The 15,957-nt window shown below is 55.2% G+C and overlaps 2 protein-coding genes across 9 annotated transcripts, besides 8 other annotated features; both read right to left on the bottom strand.

The window, feature by feature from the left end:
- APOC1 (apolipoprotein C1) lies at positions 1,197 to 6,218 on the bottom strand. 4 transcript variants are annotated; one of them, NM_001321066.2, is made up of 5 exons: positions 6,054 to 6,218; positions 5,810 to 5,871; positions 5,594 to 5,671; positions 4,218 to 4,353; positions 1,197 to 1,370 (listed from the first exon to the last, which is right to left on the bottom strand). In NM_001321066.2, the coding sequence occupies exons 3-5, from the start codon at positions 5,649 to 5,651 to the stop codon at positions 1,313 to 1,315; spliced, it is 252 nt and encodes an 83-aa protein (NP_001307995.1). In that variant the 5' UTR covers positions 5,652 to 5,671; positions 5,810 to 5,871; positions 6,054 to 6,218; the 3' UTR covers positions 1,197 to 1,312. The 4 variants fall into 4 exon arrangements, with proteins under 4 accessions (NP_001307995.1, NP_001307994.1, NP_001636.1 ...); NM_001321065.2 differs by lacking the exon at positions 5,810 to 5,871; NM_001645.5 differs by lacking the exon at positions 6,054 to 6,218 and having other exon boundaries at positions 5,810 to 5,935.
- Positions 4,864 to 5,621: an enhancer, noted in NCBI's record as "H3K27ac-H3K4me1 hESC enhancer chr19:45418179-45418936 (GRCh37/hg19 assembly coordinates)". NCBI's record gives its function as "activates a minimal SCP1, AML or CMV promoter by ChIP-STARR-seq in naive H9 embryonic stem cells {active_cell/tissue: H9 hESC(naive)}" and the evidence as "EXISTENCE:reporter gene assay evidence [ECO:0000049][PMID:30033119]".
- Positions 5,622 to 6,381: an enhancer, noted in NCBI's record as "H3K27ac-H3K4me1 hESC enhancer chr19:45417419-45418178 (GRCh37/hg19 assembly coordinates)". NCBI's record gives its function as "activates a minimal SCP1, AML or CMV promoter by ChIP-STARR-seq in naive H9 embryonic stem cells {active_cell/tissue: H9 hESC(naive)}" and the evidence as "EXISTENCE:reporter gene assay evidence [ECO:0000049][PMID:30033119]".
- Positions 5,622 to 6,922: a biological region, named in NCBI's record as "APOC1 promoter region". NCBI's record gives its function as "regulatory_interactions: APOC1".
- Positions 5,796 to 6,922: a promoter, noted in NCBI's record as "-1271 to -145 relative to translation start codon". NCBI's record gives the evidence for it as "EXISTENCE:reporter gene assay evidence [ECO:0000049][PMID:11054415]".
- Positions 6,116 to 6,571: a mobile genetic element.
- Positions 7,140 to 7,899: an enhancer, noted in NCBI's record as "H3K27ac-H3K4me1 hESC enhancer chr19:45415901-45416660 (GRCh37/hg19 assembly coordinates)". NCBI's record gives its function as "activates a minimal SCP1, AML or CMV promoter by ChIP-STARR-seq in naive and primed H9 embryonic stem cells {active_cell/tissue: H9 hESC(naive and primed)}" and the evidence as "EXISTENCE:reporter gene assay evidence [ECO:0000049][PMID:30033119]".
- Positions 11,150 to 14,747, bottom strand: APOE (apolipoprotein E). Of its 5 annotated transcripts, none has more exons than NM_001302688.2 (4): positions 14,620 to 14,747; positions 13,876 to 13,941; positions 12,591 to 12,783; positions 11,150 to 12,010 (listed from the first exon to the last, which is right to left on the bottom strand). In NM_001302688.2, exons 1-4 carry the CDS (start codon positions 14,672 to 14,674, stop codon positions 11,293 to 11,295), a joined length of 1,032 nt encoding a protein of 343 aa, NP_001289617.1. In that variant the 5' UTR covers positions 14,675 to 14,747; the 3' UTR covers positions 11,150 to 11,292. The 5 variants fall into 5 exon arrangements, with proteins under 5 accessions (NP_001289617.1, NP_001289620.1, NP_000032.1 ...); NM_001302691.2 differs by having other exon boundaries at positions 13,876 to 13,956; positions 14,702 to 14,747; NM_000041.4 differs by having other exon boundaries at positions 14,702 to 14,747.
- Positions 13,023 to 13,825: an enhancer, noted in NCBI's record as "H3K4me1 hESC enhancer chr19:45409975-45410777 (GRCh37/hg19 assembly coordinates)". NCBI's record gives its function as "activates a minimal SCP1, AML or CMV promoter by ChIP-STARR-seq in naive H9 embryonic stem cells {active_cell/tissue: H9 hESC(naive)}" and the evidence as "EXISTENCE:reporter gene assay evidence [ECO:0000049][PMID:30033119]".
- Positions 14,628 to 15,430: an enhancer, noted in NCBI's record as "NANOG-H3K27ac-H3K4me1 hESC enhancer chr19:45408370-45409172 (GRCh37/hg19 assembly coordinates)". NCBI's record gives its function as "activates a minimal SCP1, AML or CMV promoter by ChIP-STARR-seq in naive H9 embryonic stem cells {active_cell/tissue: H9 hESC(naive)}" and the evidence as "EXISTENCE:reporter gene assay evidence [ECO:0000049][PMID:30033119]".

The raw sequence follows: 15,957 nt of genomic DNA, 5'->3' as shown, positions 1-15,957 counted from the left end.
TGGCCAGGCAGGTCTCAAACTTTTGACTTCAGGTAATCCGCCCGCCTTGTCTTCCCAAAGTGCTGGGATTACAGGCATGAGCCACTTCACCCAGCCTGAATATTAACCGGTTATTAGATATGTGGCTTACAAATATTTTTCTTATGAAATCTTAAGCTGGGTGCGGTGGCTCACACCTGTAATCCCAGCACTTTGGGAGGCCAGGACGGGTGGATCATTTAAGGCCAGGAGTTTGAGACCAGCCTGGCCAACATGGGGAAATTCCGTCTCTACTAAAAATACAAAAAAATTAGCTGGGCGTGGTGGCACATGCCTATAATCCCAGCTACTCAGGAGGCTGAGGCAGGAGAATCCCTTGAACTCAGGTGGTGGAGGTTGCAAGGCTGCAGTGAATGGAGATTGTGCAACTGCACTCCAGCCTGGGTGACTCCATCTCTTAAAAAAAAAAAAAAAAAGAAAGAAATCTTAATTACATAGGGTTGTTTCTCATGTGTATGTGGTTTAATTTTACATAAGAGCCAGGCACAGTGGCTCACGCCTGTAATTCTAATACTTTGGGAGGCCAAGGCAGGAGGATTGCTTAAGCCCAGGAGTTGGAGACCAGCCTGGCCAACATGATGAAACCCTGTCTCTACTAAAAATACAAAAATTAGCTGGGTGTGGTGGCGCACACCTGTAAATCCCAGCTACTTGGGAGGCTGAGGCAGGATAATCTCTTGAACCTGGGAGGTGGAGGTTGCAGTGAGCTGAGATCGCACCACTGTACTCCATCCTGGGGGAGAGAGTGAGTCTGCCTCAAAACAGAAACAAAAACAAAAAAAAACCTCAGCCCCTCATCTCGGGTAGACCACACTAGGAAAAGTGTAGCATAGTGACATTGCTAGGCTGAGGGTTCAATCTAGTTCCAGTTCTCTACTTCCTGGCTGTGTGACCTTATACAAGTAACTTCACCTCTCTGGGCCTCAATGCCCTTATGGGATTAATAAGGCCCAGTTTGCAGGGTTCTTAGGAAGACTCTTTTGAGACCATGGAGTTAAAACATCCTCAGCACAGGGCAAGTAGATAGGGCATTGGAGGGCTTGTGAGGAGTACCTAAGGTTTAGCCCCTGCCCTCTCCTGCAGACCCTGCCCTCTCTGGAAGCCCCTACCCTCTCCCGCAGCCCCTTCCCCAGAGTAAAGAAGCACTCAGGAGAGAATTTTCTGTAGGATTTTTATTGGTGGCACCTGGGGCCACATGGAGGGAGTCCTCAGCACAGGCGCTGGGGTGTGGGAAATTTCAGAGGCCCCTCCTGGGATGTCACCCTTCAGGTCCTCATGAGTCAATCTTGAGTTTCTCCTTCACTTTCTGAAATGTCTCTGAAAACCACTCCCTGTGGGGAGGAATAAGGAAGGGGGTCACTGTGTGCAGCTACCTCCCAGGCTGTCCAAATTCTGCCTGCTACCTGACTCCCACCTCTTCCCCTTGCAGAATCTCCATCCCCACTGTCTGTGGGATTAGGAGGACCGCTGGGCTGGGTGGGCCAACTTCTGTGCCTCAGTTTCCCAGATGGACCAAAGCACGTTGAAGTCTAAACACTTTACCCTTGGCTGGGCATTTGGCTCACGCCTGTAATCCCAACACTTTGGGAGGCCGAGGTAGGCTGATCACTTGAGGTCAGGAGTTCGAGACCAACCTGGGCAACATGGTGAAATGTCATCTTCACTAAAAATACAAAAAATACCATGTGTGGTGTCACACACCTGTAGTTCCAAGTACTCATGAGGCTGAGGCAGGAGAATTGCCTGAACCCGGGAGGTGGAGGTTCCAGTAAGCCGAGATCGCACCACTGTACTCCAGTCTGGGTACATCTCAAAAAGAAAAAATAAGGCCGGGCGCCGTGGCTCACGCCTGTAATCCCAGCACTTTGGGAGGCCGAGGCGGGTGGATCACCAGGTCAGGAGATCGAGACCATGCTGGCTAAGAATACAAAAAATTCTACTAAGTAAATTCTACATTCTACTAAGAATACAAAAAATTAGCTGGCGTGGTGGCAGGTGCCTGTAGTCCCAGCTACTCGGGAGGGTGAGGCAGGAGAATGGCATGAACCCGGGAGGCGGAACTTGCAGTGAGCCGAGATCAGGCCACTGCAATCCAGCCTGGGTGACAGAGCGAGACTCCGTCTCAAAAAAAAAAATTTAAAAAGAAAAAAAAAAAAAAAAAAAAAAGAAACACTTCACCCTGGCCTGGCTTTCAAGGCCTGCCATCTCTTGCTACCAATGCCTTCCTTTTTTTTTTGAGATGGAGTTTCGCTCTGTCACCTGGACTGGAGTGCAATGGCACTGTCTCGGCTCACTGCAACCTCTGCCTCCCAGGTTCAAGCCATTCTCCTGCCTCAGCCTCCCGAGTAGCTGGGACTACAGGTGCCTGCCACCACACCCAGCTAATTTTTGTATTTTTAGTACAGAGAGGGTTTCATTATGTTGAGCAGGCTAGTCTCGAACTCCTGACCTCGTGATCCGCCTGCTCAGCCTCCCACAGTGCTGGGATTACTGGCGTGAGCCACCGCGCCAGGAGTTTTTTTTCTTTTTTGGCATGGAGTCTCGCCTTGTCGCCCAGGCTGGAGTGCAGTGGCATGATCTCGGCTCACTGCAACCTCCGCCTCCCGGGTTCAAGTGATTCTCCTGCCTCAGGCTCCCGAGTAGCTAGGACTACAGGAATGCACCACCACGCCCGGCTAATTTTGTATTTTTAGTAGAGACAGGGTTTCTCCATGTTAGGCTGGTCTCGAACTCCTGACCTCAGGTGATCTGCTTGCCTTGGCCTCCCAAAGTGCTGGGATTACAGGTGTGAGCCATTGTGCCTGGCCTCCAAACGATCTTTCTAAGTTTATGCCTGGCTCTATTTTCCCTCCCTCCCTCCCTTCCTTCCTCCCTCCCTCCCTGTCTTTCTTTTCTCTTTTCTTCTCTTTTCTTTTCTTTTTTTGTTGAGACAGGGTCTCATTCTGTTACCCAGGCTGGAATGCAGTGGCACAAACATGGCGCACTGCAGCCTAGATCTCCTGGGCTCAAGCAATCCTCTCGCCTCAGCCTCCCAAGGAGCTGGGACTACAGGCATGGGCCACCATGCCCAGCTAATTTTTTTTGCATTTCTATTAGGGACGGGGTTCTCGCACTCCTGACCTCAAGTGATCCACCCACCTCGGCCTTCCAAAGTGGTGGGGTTACAGGTGTGAGCCACCGTGCTCGGCACGTTCTTCACTGTTTTATTCCCCACATTGAAACAGTTTCCAGCACTTAGCAGATGCTCAGTAAATATTTTTGAAAGAACGAATGACTCTCTAACTTGCCAAAGGGGGCAAGGGTGGGTTTCATGATATACTGAGCATCTACATGTACCAGACACCCTGTAGGCCTGCTCCTTTACTTCCCTGTAGAACCACCAGTTTATAGGAGAGGAAACTGAGGCTCACAGTAATGCCCCTCTGTCAAGATCACACAGGAAGGGGTGCTACTCCAGCCTGGGGACCCAGGTCTGGCCAAGCTTGGGGCCTTCATTTTCATTACCTCACAAAACCATCTTTTTTTTTTTTTTTTTAAATGGAGACAGGATCTCGCCATGTTGGTCAGGCTGGTCTCGAACTCCTGGGCTCAAGCAATCCTCCCATCTCAGCCTCCCATAGTGCTGGAATTACAGGTGTGAGCCACCATACCTGGGCAAGACCATCTTGTTTTTTTTTTTTTTTTTTTTTTTTTTGAGACAGAGTCTCCTTCTGTCACCCAGGCTGGCACAATGTTGGCTCACTGTAACTCCCACCTTCCTGGTTCAAGCAATTCCCCTGCCTCAGCCTCCCGACTAGCTGGGATTACAGGTGCACGCCACCATGCCTGCCTAATTTTTTTGTATTTTTAGTAGAGACAAGGTTTCACCATGTTGGTCAGACTGGTCTCGAACTCCTGACCTCAGGCAATCAGCCCACCTCGGCCTCCCTAAGTGCTGGGATTGCAAGCATGAGCCACCGTGCCCAGCCCAAGACCATCTTTTAAAATATGGCCTGGATGGGAGTCAGGGAAACTGTCCTTGAAGTCTGAGCACCTTGAGATCTAGCTGTGTGACCAGAGGGATGTTGTCAGCCTCTCCAGGACTTGTTTTTTTTTCAATCTGTTCATCTTGGACCATCTGCCAGGGCTCCACCCAAAAACACACCCCAGCTCTCCCGTGCCCTGGGAAGGGTTCTAACCGCATCTTGGCAGAAAGTTCACTCTGTTTGATGCGGCTGATGAGTTCCCGAGCCTTGTCCTCCAGTGTGTTTCCAAACTCCTTCAGCTTATCCAAGGCACTGGAGACGTCTGGGGTCCCCTGGGCTGGGGCTGGGCCTGCCAGGAAGATGGGCAGGGGTTCAAAATTTGTTTTTTTTTTTTTTTTTTTGGAGATGGAGTCTTGCTCTGTAGCCCAAGCTGGAGTGCAGTGGCATGATCTCGGCCTACTGCAACCACCACCTCCCGGGTTCAAGCAGTTCTCCTGCCTCAGCCTCCCAAGTAGCTGGGATTACAGGTGTGCACCACCACACCCAGCTATTTTTGTTTTGTTTTGTTTTGAGACGGAGTCTTGCTGTGTCAGCCAGGCTGGAGTGCAGTGGTATGATCTCGGCTCACTGCAACCTCCGCCTCCCGGGTTCAAGTGATTCTCCTGCCTCAGCCTCCCGAGTAGCTGGGCCTACAGGCGCGTGCCTCCACACCTGGCTAATTTTTTTGTATTTTTAGTAGAGACGAAGTTTCACCATGTTGGCCAGGCTGGTTTCGAACTCCTGACCTCAAGTGATCTGCCCGCCTCGGCCTCCCAAAGTGCTGGGATTACAGGCATGAGCCACCCTGCCCGGCCAAAAATTTGTTATTGGAACCCCCTTAGGTTGGGATACCGGGATGGATAGAGATCCTTGGGGATCATGTGGTTAGAATGGGGAGGAATGGCCGGACGCGGTGGCTCACGCCTGTAATCCCAGCACTTTGGGAGGTCGAGGCAGGCGGATCACAAAGTCAGGAGATCGAGACCACGGTGAAACCCTGTCTCTACTGAAAATACAAAAAATTAGCCGGGCGCGGTGGCGGGCGCCTGTAGTCCTGCTGAGGCAGGAGAATGGCGTGAACCAGGGAGGCGGAGCTTGCAGTGAGCCGAGATCGCGCCACTGCACTCCAGCCTCGGCGACAGAGCGAGACTCCGTCTCAAGAGAAAAAAAAAAAAAAAAAAAAAGAATGGGGAGGAATACTGGAGTGACCTGGTGGGGCTCAAGCTGCTGGGAATTGCCTTACTCAGCACTGACCTCTCCCAGAGCCCCCCACCCAGCTTACCCACTTTCAAGGCTGTCGAAGCAGGACAGCCAATCCCAGAGGTGTGGGCCTCAATACGTCATCGGTTGCTAGTGCTCTCCTGCGCAGATTTGGCGCCTGCGGGACTGAGCCTGGGAGAACCTGGAGACCCACCCGACCACGATGAGGCAACCACGACCCAGAAGGGGCCCCGGAGCTCTCAGAGGTCCTCTAAGCCGGGACCCCAGGCCTGTAGCCACCTTCACTCTTCCAAATCTCCAACTCCGCAATTCTCCCATCCCACTTTTACCTTCCAAGACGATCGACAGAACCACCACCAGGACCGGGAGCGACAGGAAGAGCCTCATGGCGAGGCCGGAGGGGCACTCTGGAGGCAGAGGCAGGGGTTCAGGGGATCAGTGGCACCCTCCTCCCTCCCTACCTCCCTCCCACGATCCCCTCATCTCCCTTTTTGAGTTTCTTGCAGAGTGTAGGCGGGTGTCCCTCCCAGGCACTCAGCACCAACCTGAATCCTTGCTGGAGGGCTTGGTTGGGAGGTCCTGTCCTGCCCGCAGGACCTTTATCAGGCTGGGGAGGGGGCGGGGCAGGTTGATGTTGATCTCCCTCCTCCTGAGCCTTCCCCTGACCGCCTGCCTCCCTCTGTCCACCCACGTTTTTCTCCTCTGCCCCTGTCCCGTGAGCGTTGGGGTCAGGTGGGGTCCCGGGCACTTCCCTTAGCCCCAAAGCCCCTCCCCGTTCAGCACTCTCACCTCTCAATCTTCCTGACTCTGTGGGGTCCTCAGACCACCTTAGTCCCTTTCCCCACTCAGAATGTAGCAGGAGGAGCCGCAGACAAAATTCCTCAGACGCTGAGTTAAGGAAGGGGTTTATTCGTTCGGGGAATGGGCAAGATTCCTGTCTCAAGAGCCGAGCTCCCCGAGTGAGCAATCCCTGTTCCTTTTAAGGGCTCACAACTCTAAGTGGGTGCACGTGAGAGGGTCGTGATCGATTGAACAAGCAGGGGATGCGTGACTGGGGGCTGCATGCACCGGTAATTAGATCGGAACAAAACAGAATAGGGATTTTCACAGTGCTTTTCTATACAATGTCTGTAATCTATAGATAACCTAACGGATTAGGTCAGGGGTCAATCTTTAACCACCAGGCCCAGGGTGTGGCGCGGGCTGTCTGCTTGTGGATTTCATTTCTGCCTTTTAGTTTTTACTTTTTCTTTCTTTGGAGGCAGAAATTGGGCATAAGACAATATGAGGGGTGGTCTCCTCCCTTAAGAAGACAGCCTTGTCCTGTCCCTGTGGCCATCTTCCCTCAGGGGTCTCCCAGTAATAACCCTGTGATCTCATCCCCCCCTCATTCACACCGTGTCCCTAGATCACCTCTTTCCCTCACTTCCCCTCTCTCAGCAAGCCTCCTCAGCCCCAACAACTTTTCCTTTATGTTGCTGGGTCTCCCAGTTGGCCCGGCGCTCCTACCCTGCGTGCCACCTCCAATTTATTCCAGACCAGCCCTTGAAGCACCCCAGACCACCGTGATATTCTCTGGGCTCTTAACTTCATGGTTCTCAGTCTCCCTTTTTTGGGAGGGGAACGGGTCGCCTTAGCTGGATGACACTGCAAAAACCTCACCTGCATTAGCCAGGCATGGTGGCTCATGCCTGTAATCCCAGCACTTTGGGAAGCTGAAGAGGGAGGATCACTTGAGCCTGGGAGTTCGAGACCAGCCTGGGCAATATAGGGAGACCTCATCTCTACAAAAAAGTTCAAAAATTAGCCGAGCGTGGTGGCGCATGCCTGTAGTCCCAGCTACTCAAGAGGCTGAGGTAGGAAGATTGCTTGAGCCCAGGAGTTCGAGGCTGCAGTGAGCTGTGATTGTGCCACTGCACTCCAGCCTGGTGGGACAGAGACCCCATCTCAAAAAATTAAAACCCTCAGCTGCAAAGCTCTGCGTGTATGTCCCTTCTTCCCTTCCACCGGGCCTCACCCCCTTTGGCTGGCTACCTCCCCCAAACACTCTATCTGCTTTTATTCACCCTCTGACGCCCCTCCTGGCACCAAGCCTGCTTCCCACCATCACTACATCCGTCCCCCAAGGCTGGAGTCCAATGCCTTCCCCACCAGCTGCCTTTGACCGCCAGTGACCCTGGCAGCTGGTGGGGAGGGTGTCCTCCGCCTAGCCTCAGACTCTAGGTTGGCTGGCCTTGTGCCCCCGCAACCACGTGTCAGCCTGGCAGTAGGGGGATGGTTGTGAAAAGGACAGCATAGACAAGACCCTGGCAGGATTGCAACATCCCTCTGGCCAGCTCAGAGCTTCCAGTCCCTGTCAGCCCCAGGGGCCCCCCTACTTCCCCAACTAAGCCCAGCACCCCCCAAACATCCACCCAGATGTCTGCTTCCCAGACCCCACAAGAATAGCATAACAATGCTCCTGCTTTTCCAACCTCATCCTCCCCTCTGCTATAGGGGTTTCTCTTTAATAGATGGGGAAACTGTCGCATAACCAAGAACATCCAGTAGGGCTCAGCGAGGGGCAAAGATGGGGGCTACTGGCTGGTTGCAGTGGCTCACGCCTGTATTCCCAGAACTTTGGGAGGCCAAGGTGGGCGGAGCACTTGAGGTCAGGAGTTCGAGACCTGCCTGGCCAACATGGTGAAACTCCGTCTCTACCAAAAATTCAAAAATTATCCAGGCATGGTGGTGTGCACCTGTGGTCCCAGCTACTCAGGAGGCTGAGGCAGGAGAGTCGTTTGAACCCATGAGGTGGAGGTTGCAGTGAGCCAAGATTGTGCCACTGCACTCCAGCTTGGGTGACAGAGTGAGACTCCGTCTCAAAAACATAAAAAAAATTTAAAAAAGGGGGCTCTTTGTCCTTCTCCTTCCCAGGCTCCAGGATGTCTCTGTGGATGGTTGCTGGGTCAGCTCCTGTCCCATACGACTCCCTGCCAGCCTTTGTTCTGGAACCTCCTTCCCATCCTTGTCCCACCTCTGGATCTGACTGGGGATGTGGTGAGATAGGGCACCCTGTCTGCTTAGACATCTTCATAGGTTGGTGGGGCGTGGTGGCTCACACCTGTAATCCAACTACTTTGGGAAGCTTTGGCAGGAGGATCTGCTTGAGCCCAAGAGTTTGAGATCAGCCTGGGCAACATAGTAAGACCCCATCTCTACAAAAAAGTTTAAAATATGGCCAGGCATGGTGGCTCACTCCTGTAATCCCAGTGCTTTGGGAGGCCGAGGCGGGTGGATCACCTGATGTCAGGAGTTTGAGACCAACCTGACCACCGTGGTGAAACCTCGTTTCTACTAAAAATACAAAAATTAGCCTGGTGTGGTGGTGTGCGCCTGTAATTCTAGCTACTCAGGAGGCTGAGGCAGGAGAATTGCTTGAACCCGGGGGGCAGAGGTTGCGGTGAGCCAAGATGGTGCCACTGCACTCCAGCCTGGGCGACAGAGTGAGACTCCATCTCAAAAAAGAAAGAATTAGCCAGGCATGGTGGTGGGTGCCTGTGGCCCCAGCTACTCAGGAGGTTGAGGCAGGAGGGTTGCTTGAGTTGGAGGCTGCAGTGATTGATGATCGTGCTACTGCACTCCAGCGTGGTCGACTGAGCAAGGCACTGTCTCAAAAAAAAAAAAAAATTCTTAAAGGTGAGAACTCAAGGTTCGATTCTTCAGGTGGGAGATGTGGCTGATGCTGATTCTCTCATTGACATCTGGGGAAACTGAGGCTCTGAGAGGGTGCTGCTCCAGCTCCTGGACATACGGTGAATCAGCAGCAGGCCCAGCAGACCAGGCCCCCTGCCTGTGAGCACACTGACCCTTCCCCTCCTCACTCAGCCCTGGTGAGTCATCTCCAGGGGAGGGGTGCTGCCTCCACGTGGGTGATCAGAGCAGTGCCAGGGAAAGCACCAAGTTCAGGGTGTGCAGGAGCCAAGATGGGCAGAGGGACAAGCAGATGTTGCAGCTGGCCCAGGAGATACAAGCTCAAGTCTCAGCCTGTCCCCCGTTGGTGGGAACCCTCCTCCCCGTCTCTGAGAACTGAGGGGGTGGGAGGAGAAGAGAGTGCCGGCGGCTCCTGGGCTTCCATCCAAGCTTCCCCTCTCTGAGCGCCAGCTCTCGTCTCAGCATGGGCCTGGTGCAGACTCCGACAGAAGAGCCGCTCCCTTCTCTTCCCAGCCTGGATTCAGCACCCAGTAGGCTTGTTGGGAAACATGAGGGGTAGACATCACAACTGGAGGAAAGGATGGAGAATGAGGGATGGTCCGGGTGAGGTGGCTCATGCCTGTAATCCCAGCACTTTGGGAGGGTGAGGCAGGCAGATTACTTGAGGTCAGGAGTTCGAGACCTGCCTGGCCAACAATGCCGAAGCCTTGTCTCTACCAAAAATACAAAAATTAGTCGGGTGTGGTGGGACACGCCTGTAATCCCAGCTACTCTGGAGGCTGAGGCAGGAGAATTGCTTGAATCTGGGAAGTGGAGGTTGCAGTGAACCAAGATTGCACCACTGCACTCCAGGCTGGGCAACAGAGCAAGACTCTGTCTCAAAAAAAAAAAAAAAAAAAAAAAAAAAAAAAGAAAGAAAGAAAGAGAATGAGGGTTGGGCAGGGAAACCCAGTTCACAGTGGGTGAAGGGACAGCTAGCTCAGAGGGAACCGGAGAAGCAGAGAGCTCAAACCAAACTGAATGGCAGAAGAAGAAATCCAGATGAAGGGGGTTGGGGGAGAAACAAGCAGGCCGGGGAGAAAGAAAAGAAACCGTAGGAGGGAGAGATAAAAGATAGAAGTGGAGGAAAACAGGAAGCCAGAGTCTCCTGAGGAGAACAGGGAGAGACAGAGGGGTGGGATGGGGTGCAGGGTGGGTGGGAAGGAGGCAGATATCAGATAAGACTGGAGGAGAGAAGGGGGAGAATAATGACAGCAGAAAAAAAATGAAAATAGCTTAGAATAAAGGCACCAATCTCAGGTCATTTGGAGTTGCAACTCTGAGGAACAAGTATTATTAAGTTGGGCAGGCCGGGCTCGGAGCCCCATGCCTGGAATCCCAGCACTTTGGGAGGCCGATGGCGGAGGATCTCTTGAGCCCAGGGGTTTGAGACTAGCCTGGGCAACATATTGAGACCTTGTCTCTACAAATAATAATAAAAAGCTGGGTGTGGTGGTGCTAGCCAGTAGTCTCAGCTACTCAGGAGGCCAAGGTGGGAGTATCGCTTGAGCCCAGGAATTCCACATCAGCCTGGCCAACAAAGCCAGACCCCATCTCCACACACACCACCCCCCCCCCCAAATTAATCCTAGTGGTATGCGCCTGTAGTCTCAGCTACTGGAAAGGCTGAGGCGGGAGGATCACTTATCACTTGAGTCCAGGAGGTGGAGGCTGCAGTGAGCTGTGATGGCGGGTGACAGGGTGAGACCTTTCCCTGCCCCCTAAAAAAGAAAGAGGGGCAGAGGCCGGGCATGGTGGCTCAGGCCTGTAATCTCAGCACTTTGGGAGGCCGGCGGGTGGATCACTTGGTCAGGAGTTTGAGACCTGCCTGGCCAACATGGTGAAAGCTCGTCTCTACTAAAAATACAAAAATTAGCCGGGTGTGGTGGTGTGAGCCTGTAATCCCAGCTACTGAGGCAGCAGAATCGCTTGAACCCAAGAGGCAGAGGTTGCAGTGAGCCAAGATCGTGCCACTGCACTCTAGCCTGGGTGACAGAGCCAGACTCCGTCTAAAAAAAAAAAAAAGGGCAGAGAGAAAGATACACACAGACACAGATGGAGAGGAGGGGGCTGAGAATTGTGTGGCCAGTATGTGGGCAGAAAGAGAAACTGAGGCTGGGGCTTAGAGGAAATCACAGGGGGAGGCCAGCAGATGCGTGAAACTTGGTGAATCTTTATTAAACTAGGGTCCACCCCAGGAGGACGGCTGGGGCGGGGACAGGGTCTCCCGCTGCAGGCTGCGCGGAGGCAGGAGGCACGGGGTGGCGTGGGGTCGCATGGCTGCAGGCTTCGGCGTTCAGTGATTGTCGCTGGGCACAGGGGCGGCGCTGGTGCCCACGGCAGCCTGCACCTTCTCCACCAGCCCGGCCCACTGGCGCTGCATGTCTTCCACCAGGGGCTCGAACCAGCTCTTGAGGCGGGCCTGGAAGGCCTCGGCCTGCAGGCGTATCTGCTGGGCCTGCTCCTCCAGCTTGGCGCGCACCTCCGCCACCTGCTCCTTCACCTCGTCCAGGCGGTCGCGGGTCCGGCTGCCCATCTCCTCCATCCGCGCGCGCAGCCGCTCGCCCCAGGCCTGGGCCCGCTCCTGTAGCGGCTGGCCGGCCAGGGAGCCCACAGTGGCGGCCCGCACGCGGCCCTGTTCCACCAGGGGCCCCAGGCGCTCGCGGATGGCGCTGAGGCCGCGCTCGGCGCCCTCGCGGGCCCCGGCCTGGTACACTGCCAGGCGCTTCTGCAGGTCATCGGCATCGCGGAGGAGCCGCTTACGCAGCTTGCGCAGGTGGGAGGCGAGGCGCACCCGCAGCTCCTCGGTGCTCTGGCCGAGCATGGCCTGCACCTCGCCGCGGTACTGCACCAGGCGGCCGCACACGTCCTCCATGTCCGCGCCCAGCCGGGCCTGCGCCGCCTGCAGCTCCTTGGACAGCCGTGCCCGCGTCTCCTCCGCCACCGGGGTCAGTTGTTCCTCCAGTTCCGATTTGTAGGCCTTCAACTCCTTCATGGTCTCGTCCATCAGCGCCCTGCGGCCGAGAGGGCGGGAGGGTGTCGCACAGTGGGAGGCGGGGAGAAGGGCTGGGATGGGGCGGGCGAGATGGGGATGAGCCAGAGAGACCCAAGAGGGAGAGAAGGAACGGGGCAGAGGCCGAGAGAAGGAGACAGAGACAGATGCAGAGAGCAGATGCAGAGGGCAGAGGCAGAGACGAAGAAGGAGCTAGGAGGCCGGGCAAGGTGGCTCATGCCTCTAATCCCAGCACTTTGGGAGGCCGAGGCGGGAGGATCGCTTGAGCCCAGAAGTTCAAGACCAGCCTGGGCAACACAGTGAGACCCCATCTCTCTGTCTCTATATAAAAGAGCTAGGGAAGGACAGAGACAGAGCCAGGACGAGTGTGAGAGACTGAGTCAGAAGGGAAGAGAGAGAGACAAAGCTGAGAGAGAGAATTCCAGAGAGCTAAAGCCAGGAGTCAGAAATGGGAAGAGGAAGCTAGAACCAGCAGAGACCCAGGCCCCCCAAGACTTAGCGACAGGGGCAGAATGAAACCTGGACCTGGGGAGGTATAGCCGCCCACCAGGAGGGTCAAGGGCCAGGATGGGGACACTCACCTCAGTTCCTGGGTGACCTGGGAGCTGAGCAGCTCCTCCTGCACCTGCTCAGACAGTGTCTGCACCCAGCGCAGGTAATCCCAAAAGCGACCCAGTGCCAGTTCCCAGCGCTGGCCGCTCTGCCACTCGGTCTGCTGGCGCAGCTCGGGCTCCGGCTCTGTCTCCACCGCTTGCTCCACCTTGGCCTGGCATCCTGTGTGGAACAAGTTCAAGGTGGGTCAGGGTCCTTCTGACCCCGTCCAGGCATCTAGTACCTAGGGGCACACAGAAGGTGCTCCACAAATGCTTCTTTGGAGCCATGGTGGGCAGGGTGAGGGGGGAGTCGGTTTAATCACTTGGAAAGCATTATGTATTTATAAACAGGGTCTTGCTCTGTCACCCAGGCTGGAGTGCAGCGGCCTGAACATGGTTCACTGCAACCTTGACCTTCTGGGCTCAAGCGATCCTCCTGCCTCAGCCTCCTGAGTAGCTGAGAGCACAGGTGTGTGGCACCATGCCTGGCTAATTTTTGTATTTTTAGTAGAGACAGGGTCTCACTATGTTGCCCAGGCTGGTGTTGAACTCCTGGGCTCAAGTGATCCTCCCACCTTGGCCTCCCAAAGTGCTGGGATTACAGGGGTGAGCCACCGCGCCCAGCGGAAAAGCATGTATTGAGTGTCCTTGTGTGCCCCAGGCAGGGCTGTGTGGGGGTGATGGAGAATAAAGATCACAGCTGCCCCGTGTCTGGTATTCACTATCTGCCTGCAATGCATTAGAAACCTCTAACTCCCAGCCAGGTGCGGTGGCTCACGCCTGTAATCCCAGCACTTTGGGAGATCGAAACGGGCAGATCACCTGAGGTCAGGAGTTCCAGACCAGCCTGGCCAACATGGTGAAACCCCGTCTCTACTGAAAATACAAAAAAGTTAGTCGGGTGTGGTGGCATGTGCCTGTAGTCCCAGCTACTTGGGAGGCTGAGGCAGGAGAATGGCGTGGACCTGGGAGGCGGAGCTTGCAGTGAGCCGAGATCCCGCCACTGCACTCCAGCCTGGGCGACAGAGCGAGACTTCATCTCAAAAAAACAAAACAACAACAACAAACAACAACAACAAAACAACTTCTAACTCCTATCTCAAGGATGGGGGAAACCGAGGCCCAGAGAGCGTCAAATCGCTGTTCAGAGCCAGGAAGCAGCACAGAAGCCTCAGAAGAGGGGGCCCAGGGTCTGCCTGAATGGGGCCAGGAGGTTGAGGTGAGGATGAGAGGGGGAGGAGCGGGGGGAACCGAGCAAGCCCCGCCCCCATACCTGCCAGGAATGTGACCAGCAACGCAGCCCACAGAACCTTCATCTTCCTGCCTGTGATTGGCCAGTCTGGGGAAGGAGAAACTGTCAATCAACCGCCAGTGAGGACTCCTCCCACCCCCAGCCCGGCCCCAACCCGGCCTCACCCCAGGTTAGCCTTCCAAGCCTTGTTGCATTATCTGCAACAGCCTAATCCCAGCACATTTACCAAGCCGCCCCCAACCCATTCCCTATTTAACTCCCTCCTGGTCTTCTCTTATCTCCCCATCCCCAGGTCGGCCTCCATAGAAAATTCCATCTTCCTCTCCCGGGGTTCAAATTCCATCCCCCCACCCCCTCCCCACCGCCGGTTCCATCTCAGTCCCAGTCTCGCATTCCTCATTCTCCCTTCACATTCTAAGCTCCAACCTCACAGTTAAGCGCCGTGTTCCATTTATGAGCTAATTCAGTCCTCATTTTAAAGTTCTCCAATCGACGGCTAGCTACCGTGTCGCTGCCCCTGGCTCCCCAGTTATGGAGATCTGAGGACACTGGGGACACCCAGTAGGTGCTCGATAAATGATAGTGACAACTCGTGGAGTCCTGCTATGGCTTACATCCCAGTCCAGCTGCTCTCCCCACCCCACCTTCTAGCGGGTCGGGTCGTCTCTGCTGCCCAGCCCTTCCCAGGTCCAGTCCCCTGCTGCTTGCCTCACCCCCGCTCCTCCTCTCCCCAAGCCCGACCCCGAGTAGCTCTCCTGAGACTACCTGGAGGCCAGGGGTTCCCAGGGTCCCAGCTCTTTCTAGAGGCCCCTGAGCTCATCCCCGTGCCCCCGACTGCGCTTCTCACCGGCTCCTGGGGAAGGACGTCCTTCACCTCCGCTGGGGCTGAGTAGGACTCAAGGATCCCAGACTTGTCCAATTATAGGGCTCCCCCTGTCCCGCCCCCTCCCCCAGGGATAGGGCGGGCTGGGCCAGCCCCCAGTCACGAGGTGGGCTGTTCTCCCCCTGCCCCAGGCACAGCAGGGCAGAGGGAGGAAGGAGGTGGGGCATAGAGGTCTTTTGACCACCCCCCACAGTCCCCAGGAAGGGAGGACACCTCGCCCAGTAATACAGACACCCTCCTCCATTCTGGGGGCCAAGCGTGGAAGGGGAATGTGGAGGCTGCCGCCCAGAGTCCTCCTTTCCTGACCCTGTCCTTTCCTGTGCCTGGATGAATGTAATCTGGAGAGGGGGCTGGGGATCTGGACTCCTGGATCCCAGAAAGAAAGTAGGGCTAGGGGGCTGGACAGAAGTGGGATGGGAGGGGCTGGGGGCGGTAGCTCACGCCTGTAATCCCAGCACTTTGGGAGGCCACAGTGGGCGAATCACTTAAGGTCAGGAGTTTGAGACCAGCCTGGCCAACATGGTGAAACCCCATCTCTACTAAAAATACAAAAGTTAGCCAGGCGTGGTGGCGGGCGCCTGTAATCCTAGCTACTTGGGAGGCTGAGGCAGGAGAATCGCTTGAACCCGGGAGGCGGAGGTTACAGTGAGCCGAGATCTCGCCACTGCACTCCAGCCTCAGCAAGAGGGAGACTGTCTCAAAAAAAGAAAAAAAAGAAAGTGGGGCTAGGCGGCTGGACAGAAGTGGGATGGGAGGGGTGGGAACAGTATGATGCACCTGCTAAAAGTCGAGGCTTTGCAAATGGGACCTGGGTTTTAATCACAGCTTCCTCTTTGGTTGTGACCTTGAGCACAGGGGAGCCCCCTCCCCACATGTGAAATGAGATTCCAGCACCTCCCCCTGGCTGCCACAGGTATTGTGGTTTCCAGGGGCTTGAAGCCGTGCTTCTGGGTTAAGGTTAGGATTCTGGAGTCAAATTGCCAGGGCGTGAATCCTGGCTCTGCCAGTTGCCAGCTGTGTGACCTTGGGCAAATGACTTGTCCTCTCTGAGCATCAAGTTCCTTTGCTCATCAGACTGGGAAAGCAGCGGCACGGGTATGTTTGGTGACAAGCTAACGTGTATTGAGCATGGAGGACAGCCCTGGCACACAGCGGTCCTATGTTAGGGCTAGCAATGGACAGGCCACAGTGAACGCTCAGACGCTGTCACTTTCCTAAGC

This window comes from Homo sapiens, chromosome 19 (genome assembly GCF_000001405.40).
Source record: "Homo sapiens chromosome 19, GRCh38.p14 Primary Assembly".
NCBI lineage: Eukaryota > Metazoa > Chordata > Mammalia > Primates > Hominidae > Homo > Homo sapiens.
This window is presented reverse-complemented; position numbering and strand designations above follow the sequence as displayed.